Source organism: Homo sapiens, chromosome 15 (genome assembly GCF_000001405.40).
Source record: "Homo sapiens chromosome 15, GRCh38.p14 Primary Assembly".
NCBI lineage: Eukaryota > Metazoa > Chordata > Mammalia > Primates > Hominidae > Homo > Homo sapiens.
In genome coordinates, this window is record NC_000015.10 from 40,267,738 (window position 1) to 40,283,890 (window position 16,153).

General features: G+C 58.8%; 3 protein-coding genes across 8 annotated transcripts in view, besides 6 other annotated features; 2 read left to right on the plus strand and 1 right to left on the minus strand.

The window, feature by feature from the left end:
- The window catches only part of BUB1B-PAK6 (BUB1B-PAK6 readthrough), a 60,060-nt gene extending 50,310 nt beyond the window's left edge, over window positions 1–9,750 (plus strand). For both annotated transcript variants that reach the window (NM_001128628.3, NM_001128629.3), the window contains 6 exons: window positions 4,487–4,984; window positions 5,129–5,262; window positions 5,609–5,735; window positions 5,814–5,939; window positions 6,405–6,539; window positions 8,190–9,750. In NM_001128628.3, the coding sequence (NP_001122100.1) occupies window positions 4,487–4,984; window positions 5,129–5,262; window positions 5,609–5,735; window positions 5,814–5,939; window positions 6,405–6,539; window positions 8,190–8,357 (1,188 nt within the window). In that variant the 3' untranslated portion in view covers window positions 8,358–9,750. The remainder of the gene's footprint in view (window positions 1–4,486; window positions 4,985–5,128; window positions 5,263–5,608; window positions 5,736–5,813; window positions 5,940–6,404; window positions 6,540–8,189) is intronic.
- PAK6 (p21 (RAC1) activated kinase 6) overlaps window positions 1–9,750 on the plus strand; it is a 38,425-nt gene extending 28,675 nt beyond the window's left edge. For 2 of the 5 annotated variants that reach the window (NM_001395431.1, NM_001276717.1), the window contains 7 exons: window positions 4,487–4,984; window positions 5,129–5,262; window positions 5,609–5,735; window positions 5,814–5,939; window positions 6,405–6,539; window positions 8,190–8,368; window positions 9,379–9,750. In NM_001395431.1, the coding sequence (NP_001382360.1) occupies window positions 4,487–4,984; window positions 5,129–5,262; window positions 5,609–5,735; window positions 5,814–5,939; window positions 6,405–6,539; window positions 8,190–8,357 (1,188 nt within the window). In that variant the 3' untranslated portion in view covers window positions 8,358–8,368; window positions 9,379–9,750. Of the gene's footprint in view, window positions 1–4,486; window positions 4,985–5,128; window positions 5,263–5,608; window positions 5,736–5,813; window positions 5,940–6,404; window positions 6,540–8,189 lie in introns of all 5 variants that reach the window. The other 3 variants (NM_001395430.1, NM_020168.6, NM_001276718.2) reach the window with 2 other exon arrangements.
- Window positions 4,977–5,478: an enhancer, noted in NCBI's record as "H3K4me1 hESC enhancer chr15:40564915-40565416 (GRCh37/hg19 assembly coordinates)". NCBI's record gives its function as "activates a minimal SCP1, AML or CMV promoter by ChIP-STARR-seq in primed H9 embryonic stem cells {active_cell/tissue: H9 hESC(primed)}" and the evidence as "EXISTENCE:reporter gene assay evidence [ECO:0000049][PMID:30033119]".
- Window positions 6,200–6,700: an enhancer, noted in NCBI's record as "H3K4me1 hESC enhancer chr15:40566138-40566638 (GRCh37/hg19 assembly coordinates)". NCBI's record gives its function as "activates a minimal SCP1, AML or CMV promoter by ChIP-STARR-seq in naive H9 embryonic stem cells {active_cell/tissue: H9 hESC(naive)}" and the evidence as "EXISTENCE:reporter gene assay evidence [ECO:0000049][PMID:30033119]".
- ANKRD63 (ankyrin repeat domain 63) lies at window positions 10,635–15,327 on the minus strand. Its single transcript, NM_001190479.3, has one exon. The coding sequence runs from the start codon at window positions 14,847–14,849 to the stop codon at window positions 13,707–13,709; it is 1,143 nt and encodes a 380-aa protein (NP_001177408.1). The 5' UTR covers window positions 14,850–15,327; the 3' UTR covers window positions 10,635–13,706.
- Window positions 12,294–13,078: an enhancer, noted in NCBI's record as "H3K4me1 hESC enhancer chr15:40572232-40573016 (GRCh37/hg19 assembly coordinates)". NCBI's record gives its function as "activates a minimal SCP1, AML or CMV promoter by ChIP-STARR-seq in naive H9 embryonic stem cells {active_cell/tissue: H9 hESC(naive)}" and the evidence as "EXISTENCE:reporter gene assay evidence [ECO:0000049][PMID:30033119]".
- Window positions 14,809–15,078: a silencer, noted in NCBI's record as "silent region_6320". NCBI's record gives its function as "represses an Ori minimal core promoter by ATAC-STARR-seq in GM12878 lymphoblastoid cells {active_cell/tissue: GM12878}" and the evidence as "EXISTENCE:reporter gene assay evidence [ECO:0000049][PMID:35858748]".
- Window positions 15,089–15,148: a silencer, noted in NCBI's record as "silent region_6321". NCBI's record gives its function as "represses an Ori minimal core promoter by ATAC-STARR-seq in GM12878 lymphoblastoid cells {active_cell/tissue: GM12878}" and the evidence as "EXISTENCE:reporter gene assay evidence [ECO:0000049][PMID:35858748]".
- Window positions 15,219–15,288: a silencer, noted in NCBI's record as "silent region_6322". NCBI's record gives its function as "represses an Ori minimal core promoter by ATAC-STARR-seq in GM12878 lymphoblastoid cells {active_cell/tissue: GM12878}" and the evidence as "EXISTENCE:reporter gene assay evidence [ECO:0000049][PMID:35858748]".

Consider the following 16,153-nt stretch of genomic DNA (forward strand, 5'->3'; position numbering starts at 1 on the left):
CCATGGGTTGTGGCTTGATGTATCTGTGAGAGGAACACGAGCATCTGTGAGCTGCAGGGTGTCTGGAAGGCTGTGCCCCTGGGGAGACTCAGCCAGAAAACCAACGTAAGATCAGGACAGTGCACCCTGCTGGGAAGGTGAGATTCGGAGCTTGACCTCCCTCTGTCTCTCAGGAGTCCTGCTGCGAGGCCTCAGGGATTTGGAGAAAGGGGTTGTCAACACTGGGCTGGGCACTCATTTGCATCTTTCTGGGCTCCTGCCAGCACCCCACAGCAGGGGGAGAGGCCTGTCCATCCCTGCACAATGTACTGAGTACTCACCATGGGCCACTGCTGCTGGGTATGCCGGGATGTCCCCCATACTTGTGGGAGCAGGCGGTAGTTATCTCGAGCTCAGCAACACCATACTTCCAAATCCAGGGGAGTGGTTTCCTTCTGGGCAACTCAGACACATCTTTCAAGATTTCTACTCTGAAGCCAAGCCTCTCAATGGCAAGCTGAGACCCCCCGAGCTGCTCCGGGCCGGGGCTTCTCAGCGTCCTCACTGCAGGCGCTCAGGTCAGTCCATCCTTTGTGGTGGGCTCTCCTTGCACTGTAGCAGCCTCCCTGGCCTCTACTCACTAGAAGTTGGTGGTACCCTCGGTTGGAATAACCAAAAATGCCTCCAGACACTGCCAAATGTCACTCGAGCACACCCATTAAGAACCACTGCCTTAAGCAAATTCAATAACAGATGGGGAGCATCAGCCTTCCTCCTCCTCCTCCACCACCACCTACCCCAGGAGTCCCCAGATCAAGCCAGCAGCCCTTGGCACTGGGGCTGACTCTGGACACTTGCAGCAGCTTCCATAACAGCAGTTAGGCCACAGAGGCCATGCAGTGTGCCAGGCATGGCTGCAGGAGGGTCTGAGTATAGACTCCAGGGCTCCTGTACCTAGCCCCAGGCAGTGAGGCCTGGAGTCACTCTAGCTAAAGAGATCAGGAAGACAGGGCGTGGGGGCACAGAGACCAAAGAGGCAAGACAGTTTTTTAGGAGCTTGCAGGGATTAGACATGTTCCACTTAGAGTCAGAAGGGCAAACATTGGTTAAGCACCTACCGTGTACTCCGATATATGTCAAGGATACATGGCACCAGTGGGATTGCAGCATGGGAGTCAGCAGCCACGGGCGTCCTGCGGGTTCCAGTGCCTACAGGACAACCAAACAACCCACAGGGTTATGAGGATTACATGAGATAGTACGTTGAAGGCACTTGTCAAAGTGGTAAGCCCTCAATAAATGGCTTTATTAGTAGTATTTGAGATGGCGTCTCCCTCTTTCGCCCAGGCTGGAGTGCAGTGGCACAATCTTGGCTCACTGCAACCTCCACCTCCTGGGTTCAAGTGATCCTCCCACCTTAGCCTCCCAAGTAGCTGGGATTACAGGCACGCTCCACCATACCCAACTAATTTTTGTATTTTTAGAAGAGATGGGGTTTCACCATGTTGCCCAGGCTGGTCTTGAACTCCTGACCTCAAGTGATCCACCTGCCTTGGCCTCCCAAAGTGCTGGGATTACAGGCACCTGAGCCACCATGCCAGGCCGGCTTTATTATTTTTAAAAATATTATGCCATGGCCTCTCCCCTTTAGGATACTTAAGGTATAGCCCCCTAAGCCCACAGCTGGGGAGCCATGGCTCAGGGCGGGAAATGAGGCATTGCTGTAAATGTATGCATGACTCTTCTAGTGGCTTTCTTCCCAAGAGGTCTATCACATGAGTAACTTCAGAATTAATCCAGAGCCTGTAACAATTAATTAATTCTGTTGTCGTGTCCCCCTTTCCCTTTCTTGTGTGGCCTCACAAGTTTCATCTGGTCCTTGCTTGTGATTACATTGATAAAAGCTCCCTCCCTGTGGAGACAGGCAGTGAAGCCAACGAAAGGATGCTAGAGACCAGACCTTGCCAGGCTGAAGACCAAGCCAGCTCCCCAGACTCCCCAGCCTATGTCCCAGACTCTGCTTGTGCTGGGCTCCTGGCTGGGCCATCCCTCCCCCAGCCTCCAGACGCAGGCTCCGCCCTGAGCCCAGCCAGCACCTGCAGCAGCAGCAGCAGCACAGGGACCTGGCCTGTGGAGACAGGGAAGAAACCCCTACCTCAGCCTGTCCACGTGGTACCCACACATCCTCAGAGTAGAGCTGGCCCATGCAGAAGCCCTCAAGGCCAGGAGGGGAATGATCTCATTTTACAGCCTTTCTTAGGAGCTTCAGGATGAGAGGTCATCAGAGCCACCTCAGGAGGAGCTTTAGGTGGTCCCCAAGCTTCTGCCCCGACCCACCTGGATGGGTGCCTGGAGAGCATGTTTTCTGAGTTAAGTCCACACTCAGGCCAGCAGGCAGCTTCCTTAGAGCCCCGAGCCTTTCTACAGGTTGACTGTGTGATGCAGTGAGCCCTGCCCCACTTCCCTCCCTGTCCCTGCCTGGTGACGTCTCATGGAACCTCTGTTCCCAGGACCTGGTATCACAGCCTCAGTCATGGCCATGCGCCCTCCACCCCCCTCACAGCCCTCCCAGAGGCTCCCTGAGGCCGTAAGATCATACTGCCCACTTATGCAGAGTTTCTCAAAGTATGTTCCATGGGCCTCCTAGGACCCAGGGACCTTGTTCAAATGCAGTCTCTGCTCTAGGCTCCCACCGAATCAGGCTCTGAGGCGGGAAGTCTGCGGTTTCTCTAGCTCCCCAGATCTCTGCACACGTCCCTGCATTGTAGTGGAGACAGGCTCAGAGAGGATGACTTGCCTAAGGCTCATCACAGGGCAGAGCAGCCCAGGGCTGGGCCCCAGGTCCTGACAGCCCAGTCCAGGGGTCCCACTGCTCCACTACACAGTGGATGGTGACAGTGTCACAGTGTCACAGTGGATGGTGACAGTCAGGTGCTGGCGAGGACATGGGAGAATGTTTACTGTCCAAATGTACTCATCAGGGATGGAGTGAGTCCAGGCAGTCCTGGGAGGATTGCTAGCTTCTTTCCTGTGAAGGTCAAGCACACACTCGGGTGGGCAGGCAGGTGTGGGGGTGGCAGAAGTCTGCCCCAGCATGGCTGTCGGCCAGCAGGAGTGCCTATTCCACCCTAAGCAGGCCAGGGACTTGGCTGGAGAGTAGAAGCCCTGAAGCTGCGGGGGGTCGGGGAAGGAAGGGAGTGAGGGTTGCCAAAGACACTGAAAAGACTCTGGTGGGGCCCAAGGCCCAGATTTGGGGTTTGGGGTCCCTGAGCAAGCATCCCAGCCCAAACTTACTGCTTGAGATTTCCTGTAAGTTGTTTCAGCTATGGGATCAGGACCAGGACCCACTGGGCACCTAAGACAATGGCTTACATGATGGGTTTGGAGAAGTTCCTAGAAGGCTTTTTCTGCATCCCCTGAAGCATCCCTCTCCAGGTGCCCTTTAAAAACACGTAATCCCTGGGAGGGGTCATGGTGCATATCACCGCTCCTTGGGGAGAACCCAAAGATGGGCGGGCACCTTTCCTGTCAGAAAGAGCAGAAGGGCTTGGGCTCGGAAAAGCAAGAAGCCTCGCAGGCTTCCAGGGCTGGGCCTGAGCAGGGCTCACTGGGGGCCCAGGCTGCCCCTCAGCTCCACCTTCCCTTCCTCCCTCCCTGCCAGAGCCAATGAGGATAGGCCCCCTACCTTCTCCTCCCTCCCGGGGGCTCCTTAGCCAGGAGTTTCATGCCAGGGAGGAAGTGGAAGGACTCCTTTAGGGGGTCCTTAAGACATCTCCCCATCCCTGGCCTCAAGGCTTGGGTTTGGCTGGACCTACCCTCCTAACTCCAGATCTCTCTGGCACCAGATTCCCAGCCCAGGGGAGACACCTGAGAACCCCCCAGATGGTGACACACCTCTGTGGTCCTCTGTCAGGGACATAACCTCCCAGCACAGATTTGCAAACTCCCTGCTGCAGGCACAGGCAGGGCTATCGGGCCCCAGGTGTGGCTCCCCTGCCTTGGTTCAGGGAGTGGAGACACAGTTGCCCACTGCTCCCCACCCCACTGCCAGGCCTCTTCTGCCCCCATGGGTCCTGGGGTGGGGGAGCCTTGGGAGTGAAGAATGCCTCTGACCCAGATTCTTCAAGCAGCCTCTGAGCTCAGAGGAAGAGTCTGCCTCACGGCAGCCTCCCTGGGGTCTAGCTGTCAATCGCCCAGGAAGAAATACCCAGCGCAGGACCCGGCGGGGAGCTGGCCTTCTCTGTCTTCCCAGGTGCAGCAGAGCGAGTGTAAGGAGCTGTCTTGGGCCTGCCCAGCCTGGTGCCCTGCGGGGGACTGCTGGCACAGGACTGTGACTGGGCTTCAGCTCTGTCTGAAAATCTTTGCTCAGAGCACCTCCCTAGTTTGATCTGATACCCCGCCTGACCCTGCCAGAGTCCAGAGGTCACGGCGGCCAGCCCCTGCCTCCGGGAAGGTTATTCCAAATGCTCCCACAGCCCTGACCCTTCCTGTTGCTTTGTCCCTGCAGCCCAACTCCTCTTTCCGACCGCCGCAGAAAGACAACCCCCCAAGCCTGGTGGCCAAGGCCCAGTCCTTGCCCTCGGACCAGCCGGTGGGGACCTTCAGCCCTCTGACCACTTCGGATACCAGCAGCCCCCAGAAGTCCCTCCGCACAGCCCCGGCCACAGGCCAGCTTCCAGGCCGGTCTTCCCCAGCGGGATCCCCCCGCACCTGGCACGCCCAGATCAGCACCAGCAACCTGTACCTGCCCCAGGACCCCACGGTTGCCAAGGGTGCCCTGGCTGGTGAGGACACAGGTGTTGTGACACATGAGCAGTTCAAGGCTGCGCTCAGGATGGTGGTGGACCAGGGTGACCCCCGGCTGCTGCTGGACAGCTACGTGAAGATTGGCGAGGGCTCCACCGGCATCGTCTGCTTGGCCCGGGAGAAGCACTCGGGCCGCCAGGTGGCCGTCAAGATGATGGACCTCAGGAAGCAGCAGCGCAGGGAGCTGCTCTTCAACGAGGTGGGAGGACAGGGTGGGACACAGACGGGGGCGTTGGGGATGGGCAGTGAGCAGCCAGCCAGGCTGGACATCTGTGAGCAGGGGCAGTGGGTGGCCATGCGTCTGGGCACTGTGCCTGGCACTCAGGCCCCCGCCTGCCCCCAGGTGGTGATCATGCGGGACTACCAGCACTTCAACGTGGTGGAGATGTACAAGAGCTACCTGGTGGGCGAGGAGCTGTGGGTGCTCATGGAGTTCCTGCAGGGAGGAGCCCTCACAGACATCGTCTCCCAAGTCAGGTGGGCAGCTGGGAGGGCTGGACCCTGAGTGCAGGCTGCCCTCACCATGGCCCTGCCAGGGCAATGTGGTCTTCTGCCTGTGGCCCAGAAGACTTGGGATGCCTGGGCTCCCCTGCCTGCTGGGGTAACTGAGACCCAGGGGTCTTGGGAGTGGAGAAGAGAAGGATAGCTTCTAGCCAAAGCTCAGGCCCCAGTTTTCACCAGGGCTATGGCCTGACTGTGCTGCCAAACAGATTGCCTGGGAGCTGTGGGGCCTAGCACCAGGGACTCCTACTCTGCTCAGCCACCCCACGACCTGCCAGAGCTAACGTTCTCTTTCATCGGGTGGCCCCACCTTCCTGTCCAGGCTGAATGAGGAGCAGATTGCCACTGTGTGTGAGGCTGTGCTGCAGGCCCTGGCCTACCTGCATGCTCAGGGTGTCATCCACCGGGACATCAAGAGTGACTCCATCCTGCTGACCCTCGATGGCAGGGTAGGTCCCATCCTGTCCCTGGCACAGCCACGCTCCCACTTCCTCCTGATCCACCACTCACTCCCTTTTCAACCGCAGGTGAAGCTCTCGGACTTCGGATTCTGTGCTCAGATCAGCAAAGACGTCCCTAAGAGGAAGTCCCTGGTGGGAACCCCCTACTGGATGGCTCCTGAAGTGATCTCCAGGTCTTTGTATGCCACTGAGGTAACCGTTCCCTCCACCCCCCAGACCTCCCAAAAGCAACTTGGCAACTGGCAGCTCTTCTGCTGTGGCCCCTCCAGTGAGCTCACCAAAAGCAGCCCTGGTTTTCAGAGTCCCACCTAGTCAACACCCTTCCCCCTTTCGATGGGGCTGCTCTTACCCAGTGACTTTGCTGCCAGGAACGAGTCCTGCAAGTGCTTTCCTCAGCTCAAGGGCAGAATGGGGTATGGCCGGGCCTCCTATGTATGATGGCCTTTCTCTGAGTGACTGACAGCTGTGTCCCTATAGGCAGTGGTCACTCATGCAGGCAGTAACTGGCCACAGGGCAGGTGACCAGGGGAGGAAGGAGACAGACCCACCAAGGAGAGCTGGGGCCAGCTGTCCCCCCTCCACCACTGCTGCCACCAGAACGCAGCTACCAATGGGCCAGGGTCTGGCCATGGGGTCAGGGACATTTTCCTCCTGCAGGTGGATATCTGGTCTCTGGGCATCATGGTGATTGAGATGGTAGATGGGGAGCCACCGTACTTCAGTGACTCCCCAGTGCAAGCCATGAAGAGGCTCCGGGACAGCCCCCCACCCAAGCTGAAAAACTCTCACAAGGTCAGTTGGCACACAAGGGTGCGACCTCGCAGACCCCATTCCTCCTGAGGCAAGGGGACCAGAACCTGGGCTCCCAGCATCTCCCTTCCACTGAAGCCACAGGGTCTGGGCTCCTGGAAAAGGCTCCTCTTTCCCCACACAAAACCCGCACCTGGGTGTGGAGCCGCATCTACGCACAAGTTCGCATGTGCGCTCCGACAAGTCGCCTCCCACGGCTGTGGCAGGAGAGTTGCTGCTTGGCAGAAGGGTTGCTGCTTGGCAGGCACTGGTCGGAAGCCCAGTGGGGCCCATGAGCAGGGAAAGCCAGGACACCAGCAATCCCTGCTGTCCAGGGAGGGATCCGGAGAAGCTTCACTGAGCACAAACCCTTCTAACCCGTGTCGGGAGATCCATACCATGATTCGATGTCCCTGTCCATCACGGCGAGTCGGCTCATGCTCCATCGTTGCACACCCCGACACAGCTAAGCCACAGCGTTCCCCTTAAAGCCAGTATAAGTGCATGGAAGTGTATACATGTAACCCTTTTTGCCAAATCGGCCCCAACCCCGCAGGCCTTACTGTGGACGCCCCCTGCTGGCAGGTCAGCACGGGGCTGCTAAGTGGCACCGCCATCTGGTGGCCAAAACAAGAAATGTCTCAGAGGGCTGAAGCCTCTCCTCTAAAATAGCAAAAAAACAAGAGTTCTGTGGCCCCAACACAAAGCTGGATGGGAGGACCAACAGGAAACATCTTCCAAGACAACTGGTCCTTGGAGCCCGCACCGCTAACCCCAAAATTAGCATATAAAGATCTCCAGTTGGCTAATTCCTCAGAGGATGTAGCCTTCTGCCCAAGACTCAGCCTCATCCCAAGATACTGGCTCAAAATGAACCAAGATAAGCCCTTGCTTTAGACTCTTAAGGCCTAGAGCAACAAAGAAATCTTCCTTTTCAGGTCTCACTTTATTTTCTATTTTTCAGAGTACTTCCTCATCCTTGACTTGTTTGTTTCTGTTGTTGTTGGTTTTTTTTTTTTTTTTTTTTTTGGAGATGGAGTCTCTCTCTGTTGCTCAGGCTGGAATGCAGTGGTGCGATCTCAGCTCACTGCAACCTCCGCCTCCTGGGTTCAAGCAATTCTCCTGCCTCAGCCTCCTGAGTAGCTGGGATTACAGGCACGTGCCACCATGCTCAACTAATTTTTGTATTTTTAGTAGAGACAGGGTTTCGCCATGTTGGTCAGGCTGGTCTACGAACTCCTGACCTCGTAATCTGCCCAACTTGGCCTCCCAAAGTGCTGGGATTACAGGCTTGAGCCACTGCGCCCAGCGACCTGTTTTTAAAATCTCAAAAGCCCTATGTGGCAGACAGGGCAAGCATACTTTATCACTAGCCCATTTTACAGATGAGAAAACTGAGGCCTAGAGAAAACTGTGACTTGCCTGAGATCACGGATAGAGCCAGATCTGGATCACTGATGCCAATCCTCTGCCCCTTCCACAGAGCTATAGCATCTGAATGCTGAGAGCCTTGAGGGGGTGGGGAGGGACAAGGGAACAGGAAGTTAAAAAACCAGCGAATTCATGACTTTCAAACAATGATAAGTCCAGGCAATCAGGTCACCCCGAAGTGACTGCAAATTGTGGCTTCATCTTACTGCCCTGCCTCTACAGGTCTCCCCAGTGCTGCGAGACTTCCTGGAGCGGATGCTGGTGCGGGACCCCCAAGAGAGAGCCACAGCCCAGGAGCTCCTAGACCACCCCTTCCTGCTGCAGACAGGGCTACCTGAGTGCCTGGTGCCCCTGATCCAGCTCTACCGAAAGCAGACCTCCACCTGCTGAGCCCACCCCAAGTATGCCTGCCACCTACGCCCACAGGCAGGGCACACTGGGCAGCCAGCCTGCCGGCAGGACTTGCCTGCCTCCTCCTCTCAGTATTCTCTCCAAAGATTGAAATGTGAAGCCCCAGCCCCACCCTCTGCCCTTCAGCCTACTGGGCCAGGCCGGACCTGCCCCCTCAGTGTCTCTCCCTCCCGAGTCCCCAGATGGAGACCCCTTTCTACAGGATGACCCCTTGATATTTGCACAGGGATATTTCTAAGAAACGCAGAGGCCAGCGTTCCTGGCCTCTGCAGCCAACACAGTAGAAAAGGCTGCTGTGGTTTTTTAAAGGCAGTTGTCCACTAGTGTCCTAGGCCACTGCAGAGGGCAGACTGCTGGTCTCCACAGATACCTGCTGTTCTCAGCTCCAGCTTCAAACCTCGAGTCTCGAGAGGGCCACGGGGTGGTTTTTATGACCGGAATCCCGCTTCCTCCCTCACGTCTGATGTCCTGAAGGTGCAGTCCCACCTGTACAGCCCCTCCCCGCCCAGAACTGTGAATGGCCTGCTCCAGGCCATGGCTGGGGGCAGGGAGTGAGGGGACAATTTCTGAGTGAAAGAGAAAGAATGGGGTCGGTGGTGAAGGTGCTCTCACTTTACAGAATGGAGAGAACATCGTGTGTGTGTGTGTGTGTGTGTGTGTGTGTGTGTGTGTGTAAGGGGAGGAAAGCCACCTTGACAGCCCAGGTCCCTCCAGGTCACCCACAGCCAGTTTCAGGAAGGCTGCCCCTCTCTCCCACTAAGTTCTGGCCTGAAGGGACCTGCTTTCTTGGCCTGGCTTCCACCTCTCCACTCCTGTGTCTACCTGGCCAGTGGAGTGGTCCATGCTAAGTCTAACACTCCTGGGAGCTCAGGAGGCTTCTGAGCTTCTCCTGTACTGTGCATCGTGAGGGCCAGAGACAGGAATGTAAGGATTGGCAACTGTGTTACCTTTCAAGTTTATCTCAATAACCAGGTCATCAGGGACCCATTGTTCTCTTCAGAACCCTATCTGGGAGAGAAGGCGAACCACCTCCGGGTTTCCATCATGTCAAGGTCACAGGCATCCATGTGTGCAAACCATCTGCCCCAGCTGCCTCCACAGACTGCTGTCTCCTTGTCCTCCTCGGCCCTGCCCCACTTCAGGGCTGCTGTGAGATGGAATTCCAGGAAAGAACTTCAGGTGTCTGGACCCTTTCTATCTAGATAATATTTTTAGATTCTTCTGCTCCCTAGTGACCTACCTGGGGGCAAAGAAATTGCAAGGACTTTTTTTTAAGGGTCAGAGTTTTCAAAACAAAAGCATCTTCCCTAGAAATTTTTGTGAATTGTTTGCACTTGTGCCTGTTTTAAATTAAATTGAGTGTTCAAAGCCATTGGGCTTCCTGTGTCTCTGGGAGCGGAGACCGGCCGTCTTGGAGGGGGGTCTCCTGTGGCGGGTGAATCTCGTGTAGCCTCCCCTCCTCCCCACGTGAGCTCTCCAGCAGCCACACCACAGAACACCCAACTTCCCTGGTGGCCTGTGGACCCGAAAGGAGGGCAGAGAGGAAGGGAAACAGGAAGTGAAAGGCCCTTGGGAATGAAGGCGATGAAAAATAGACGGGGCTACTTCCCCAGGGGAGAAGAGCCCACAAGGAAAGCCAGGGCCCTGCGCTGCGTTTGCGGGGGGTGGCCGAAGTGGCTGACGACCACCCTGTGTGTCAGCTTCTCCCATCCTCTGCGCGCTCCTCACCCCCACCCCAGACCTCCAGCTGTCCATAGGAAGTGGTCTGAAACCGCTTCCAGTGGGAGAGCAGTCCCTGCCTCACTCCTCAGGACTGAGGGAGATGGTGTGGGGTTCAAAAAGAACGGAGCAGAGCCTGGAAACCAGGGAGCCTGGGCTTTCGTTCTGGGGGTGGGGAGGTGGATGAAATTATCTTGCAACTTCCAGCTCCCACACGGATTCCCGCACTTCCTTCCTGAGATCTCCCACTGCCCAGGATTCAGGAGCAAGCCAGGAGCAAGGAACCATGCAGCCTTTCTTTCACTCCCCAGTGCATTCACACCCTGACAGGTGCCCTGGTGCTGCGGCTGGCCCGGCCTGTCCCCCCAGCTCAGCAGAAGCAGCACCTGTGACTTACCTTCAGGAGCCAGCACAGTAGGACGGGCAGGGCGGAGGCTCACTAAGGCAGGGGCCTCCACAGGAGGCAAAGGCTCGGTCCATCTCTCCAAAGGGAGCCGAGGGTCAGGAGTGCTTGATAAGGCAAAGAGAGGCCAGTTCTCGCAACGGAATAATACACTGGATTTATTAACTATTCTTTGAGTTCTAACAGTCCTTCCACCACACAGTATCACTCTGAAAGGGTGTGCATGTCTCACAGCTCACACACACACCACTTCTGATCTTAGGGTACCAAGTGCCAGCATCCTGGGTGACTCTTCACAATGACAAAAGCAACAAGAACTGGAAAAGCAAAATATTTAGAAAAGTCTCTTCTGAAGGTAGAGATTGCTAGAGAGGACCCAGCCTCAACACCCTGGGGCTGACAAAGGGAGTTCAGGAGAGAAAAATGTGGTAAAACATGGAAGTTCTGCACAGAGCCGGGCCTGGGAAGGAGTCTGTATGTATGGACAGCAAGGCAGTCAGACACACGATGCAGTTCAGACAGGAAAGAGCCGCTGCAGTTGTTTAGAAACATCGCTTTCTACCACCAAGCTCTCGGCAGCTCCACAGAGAAGAGCCCTCATGGTTGTTTATCCAGTCAAGAGGGCCCAGGGTGACATTCAACCAGAAAGCCGTATATCAGAGATACTGGAAAGATTACAGCACCTCTGATACAATGTGCAACCCAGACTTCATGCTGTTAAGCCAAAATACTTGCATTTCTACACCACTAAAAACGTCATTAAAATTCAACACAGTTGAAAAGGGAGTACATAAGCAAGCAAGGGTCAGAAAGCAGCAGTTTGCACTTGGGGTGTCCAGTGGTCCCCACCCTACCCCAGACCCTCTCTCTCAGGCTTTTCAGGCACTTGGTATTGTGCACCCACCACCCAGACGGGGACTGAGGAGAGGCAGATGTTTTGGGAGAAGAGGGGAGGGAGAGGGCAGAATACCTCAGAAACCAAAGCTAGTATCAGAAGAAAACTGCATAATCGGCAGGTCCCAAGGGAAGGGTTGGCAGCTCCAGCTTTTCGGAAGAGAGCTGTAGCTCTCAGCCTTAACTTGGAAGATTTAACTTGGGGTCCTTATTGAAGGGTCTGGGCTCCTGCTACTCTCAATGCGAGTTTTTTGTTCATTGTCCCTCACTTCACTGCTGTAAAGTGACTTCAAGTATCCGGATTTAATATTCTACAAGAGGAAGAGGATTCCACGATAAATGCACATGGATGAAGAAGTACACAGGGGTGATCCCAAAGAAAACCAGGATGTCTGAGCTCCGAGCCGGGGCGCAGCGGGGAGGGCCCAGCGCTGCCACCAGGGGGCACCAGAGATCACGTCCAGTGCGCCGGCCTGCTTGGCCTAGCGGATGGGGGCAAGCGGAGGGCAAGGACTGGATAGGTGTCCTGACACCTGCACGAGGCCCACTCCTGGCCGCCCACCCCTCACCGCCAGGCCCAGCAGTATCTCGGCACATTCTCGCTCTGGGCAGTTCCCTGGGAGTTGCTGGCGAGAAACCTTCCGTACTGCAAAGGCAAACAGATCGAAGTCTTGCAAAGACCTTACTGCAGGCAGGTGAAAGGCTTCAAGTTCCACCCTCAGGGTTCACAAAAGAGCCCCACCTGCCGCCTCCCCGCGGGCCAGGCGCACTGACACACGTGCTGGCGCTTCCGCAAGGTCCTAGCGCACCCGTCCCGCCGGACCCCCGCCCCCAACCCCGCCGCCTCGCTAGGCCAGTATAGGGCAGGAGGGTGGGGGCGAGCAGGCAGGGGACAAAGGACAGTGTCAGGAAAGGGCCTCTGACCACCTCTCTGCGGTTGCCTCTGACTTACTCATCTACCCAGTAATAAAACTGGGCCGGGCCTGCGTCCCACGCGGTAGGACCAAGGCAGGAGTCCCGGGTCTCGAACTCTAGCATCCATCATCCGCCCTGCCCTCCATTAACGGCCCAGCGAGAAGCAGGAGCCGTTTAACAGGCTCCTTCCAGCTCTCGCCAGAGTTTGATATAATTTAAACCTGGACCCGCAGCTCGTGTGGGCTCCCGACTCCCGCGCGCCGCCGTTTCACGTCGCAAACACTTTAGTCAATTATCCCCCTCGCGGAGCTTCTATTTAAAGAGATATTGTCAGGCTCTTAAGCCTCGGAATCAGACCCGCTGCTTTCTGCTTCATATACAAAGGCTTAAAACACGAGTTCTTTGAGGATTGGAAGAAATACAATTAAGCACAGCCTTCGCAACCGTTCCACCCCGCGGGAGCACCCACGTGCGGGACGGGGGAGCTGGGAGGCGTGGAGGCGGGGAAGCGCTCAGTCCTTTCCATTTCAGGCCTCTGTGACCCAGCGGAAATAGGGCTTGGGCCTCCAGGGGTGAGGTGTTGAACCTCGATGATGGAATTCAAATGCATCTGAGCTGAAGAGCGGGCTGGCTCTGGAGCCCGGAGTTGGCCTGGGTAGGGGTTGTGTGGAGCAGTGACTCCACATTATCAATGAAGCTGAATCCTGGGGCAGAGAGAGAGGGAGCTGGAGTTACCCAGGAGCTGATTCAAGGGACAACTGGTGTTCAACACTAGGGACTCTCCCACTCCCAAAATATGCTTTCATTGTCTTGAGACAGGAGTTTCTACCCTGGAAAAACATAACAGCCAGACCCCTTCCTCCTCAACCCTCCAGTCCTGAAAGGCTCTAGGGCCCCCTCCGTCCTTTCCTTCTCCCACACTTGGAGGGAAAGGAGACTTTGGTAGTTTGTGGGATTATTGTCAGCATCAGTAGGCAGAAAGTGGGGAGGCTGGGTCCTTATTCTCCAAGGTGGACCCTTCTATTTACCTGGCTGCCCAGTTGTTGGGAAACCCAGCGAGGGGAGGGGGGCCGGACAGGAGCGACAGATGGCTAGGCCGACCCAGGATTGAGCCTGAGGGCTGGGGAGGGGGAATCCACCTTCCTGGCTGTAGCCTACGGAACCAGTCAATCGACACCTCTAGACCTAGGCAGGGAATACCGAGGAGCACAAAAAAGAAGATGGAGGTCCCTTATTTCTGGTGGAGGGCTGGTGGAGGTCTCGCCTTGGCAGGGAGGCAGGTTCCAAAATGGACTGCGGGGGGCGGCTGCCGAAAAGGTGAGGGACCTAGAAGAGAGAAATACCAGTGGAGTAGAAACGGGAGGGTAGGGGAAGCAGGCCTCGGGCCTTGGCGCCGTTTACCGCTGAGCACGCAGCACCACAGCCTCGGTGCCCGCCTGCCAAGGGTTCGGCCCAGGCACCGAGACAGACAGAGCGTTGGCCTCTAACTCCGGGCCACTCTCGGGCCCTGGCGCCTCCCCGACCAGGCTGGGGATATCTGGGGCTGTGGAGCGTCGGCGCAAACCCAGGCGGCCAGAGCCGGGGCCGCCCTCCGGGTGGGGACTGAGGCCAATGGGGGCTTGCGCTAAGGTTGGGGGCGCTCCCTCCAGCACCTCCTGTGAGCGCCACCGCCCAGTCCCCGAAGACTGGGGCGAGTTTGGTAGGGCCATCAGGGCCCCAGCCCGCAGGCGGGCAGCCTCCTCCTCGGTTACCGCACCTAGAGCCAGGCTCATGCTCCGACCCAGCTCGGGCCGTTCGCTGCCCTGCGCCCGGTGCCGGCCCGAATTCTTGCCCGCTGAGCCAGCCTCGCCGCCGTGGCCGCCCGCCGCTCGCGCAAAGCGCGCCAGGAGAGGCCGCGGGAGGCGGCGGGGGCTGGGTCGTCGATGCTCGGGGCTGGCCGCGGGGGCCGGGCGGCCAGGGGGACTATCGGAGTTGGAGCCCCGGGCCGCAGCGGCGGCGGCGGCGCGGCCCCAGGGCCCGGTGAGGGCCTGCACACAGGTCCCGTGGCCGCGGGCGGCGGCCAGTTGCAGCGCGGTGAGCCCCGCACGGTTGGTGCGGTCGAGGCGCAGGCCTAGGCGGCGGAAGGACCGCACCAGGAACTCGAGCACCGCCCCGTGGCCGCAGGCCGCCGCCCACATCACCGGGCTGTTGCCCGCAGAGTCGGCCGCCTCGGGGTCACCGCTGAACTGCACCAGCAGCTGCACGGCGTCCAGGTGGCCTCGCTCGCACGCCAGGCTGAGTGCGGTGCGGCCGCGCTCGTCTCGCAGGTTCACTGCAGCACCCTGCTCGAGCAGCAGCCGCACGAAGCGCGCGCGCAGCGCGGGGTCCGGCAGCCCCACGGCCACCATGAGCGGCGTACGGCCCTGCTCCGCGCGGCAGTCGATGATGCTGCGGTCCAGCGCATCCAACACGAAGCGGGCCAAGTGCACTTTGCCCGCCTGCATGGCCTCCAGGAAGGTGCGCGTCCCCGCTCGGGGGCACAGGTCCTTGGGTTTGAGCATGGCCCCGGCCGCCGCGCCCGGGCAGCCTGGCAGTTCCGCACGGGGGCGCCCCTGTTCTCGCGCCCCGCGGGGCTCCGGCCTCCGCCCGCGCTCTGATACCTCTCCCTCCGCGCGTGGGCGGCTGCAGCCGAGGGTCCCGAGGTTCCTACTCCGCTGTCCCGGAGGCTCCGACTGCCCCGCCGCTCCTGGGCCGCACGCCTGGCGTGTCGCCGCTCCTTCCCCGGGCCTCCCGCCTGGAGGTGTTGATTGCTCGCTACTCCGGGCTCCGCTCCTGGCCCGCCACCAGACGTCGGGAGCAGAGACTCGACCCTCTCCCGAGTCTCTCGCCGCTTTCCCGGTGTCCGGCGCCCCTCAGTCCTCGTGGTTTGGAGCCGCCGTGCCACTCACCCGCACCCAGGGCAGCCCCCGCTCCCCCGCAGCGACGGTGGCGCCCGCCGTGCACGCCTGCCTCCAGCCCTGGCGGGGCGCGCCGCTCCTCAAGCTGCTGGCGCCGTTCCTCCGCCTCCTCCCCTCTCGCGGGGGCCGGGCCACGCCAGGGCGCTTGCTCCTTACTTGGGGGGCTCAGCGGCGCGGGAGCTGCCGCCCGCCTAGATACCTGACTTTATAGCCTTGGGGGTCTCCATGGCAATGGCTGTCCTGGGAGCGGACTGCGCCGTCAGGGCAGAGACGGACGGGGCGGGGGAGACCGCTCCTGACCCCCACCCCTTCGTGGGCCACGAAGTAGGGGAGCGGTTCCTCCTCCGCGCTCCCCTGGGAATGCGGCGGCGGTTGCGGGGCGGGGGCGGGGGCTGCTCGCCGGGGGCCACATGCACCCAACCGGGCCAATCCCAAAGTCGCAGTCTTCTCTCCCCGCCCTCCGCCCCCAACCGAGTCGGTGCCCTCGGCTCCTTAGAAACTGGCGGGACCTCGGCCTCGTCGGGGAAGACTGAAAGCTGCCCCCATCGGTCCAGGGTGAAAGGAATTGGGACCCCATGAGCGCAGAACTGGACCACGCGCGAGCTAGGGGTGGCAGCGAAAGGCGGATGAGGAGTAATTTGGGGGAGGGGGTATACGTGCCGCGGATTGGGGGCGCTCAGCCTGGCTGGGAACTGCCACTCGAAGTGCAGAGAATCACGCACTCACACACAATTGTTCCACCCGCACACGCTCCCTGGGAACGAGGGGTGGGGTCCGAGTGCGCTCTCCAATTTCAGACGTCTCCAACCCCGACAACGCGCCCGCGTGCCAGCTCCTGGTGGCTGCCTAGCGGGCAGAGTGTAGACGCCCAGACCAGGGAGGGGCTCCTTAGGACCCGGGAGTGCCGC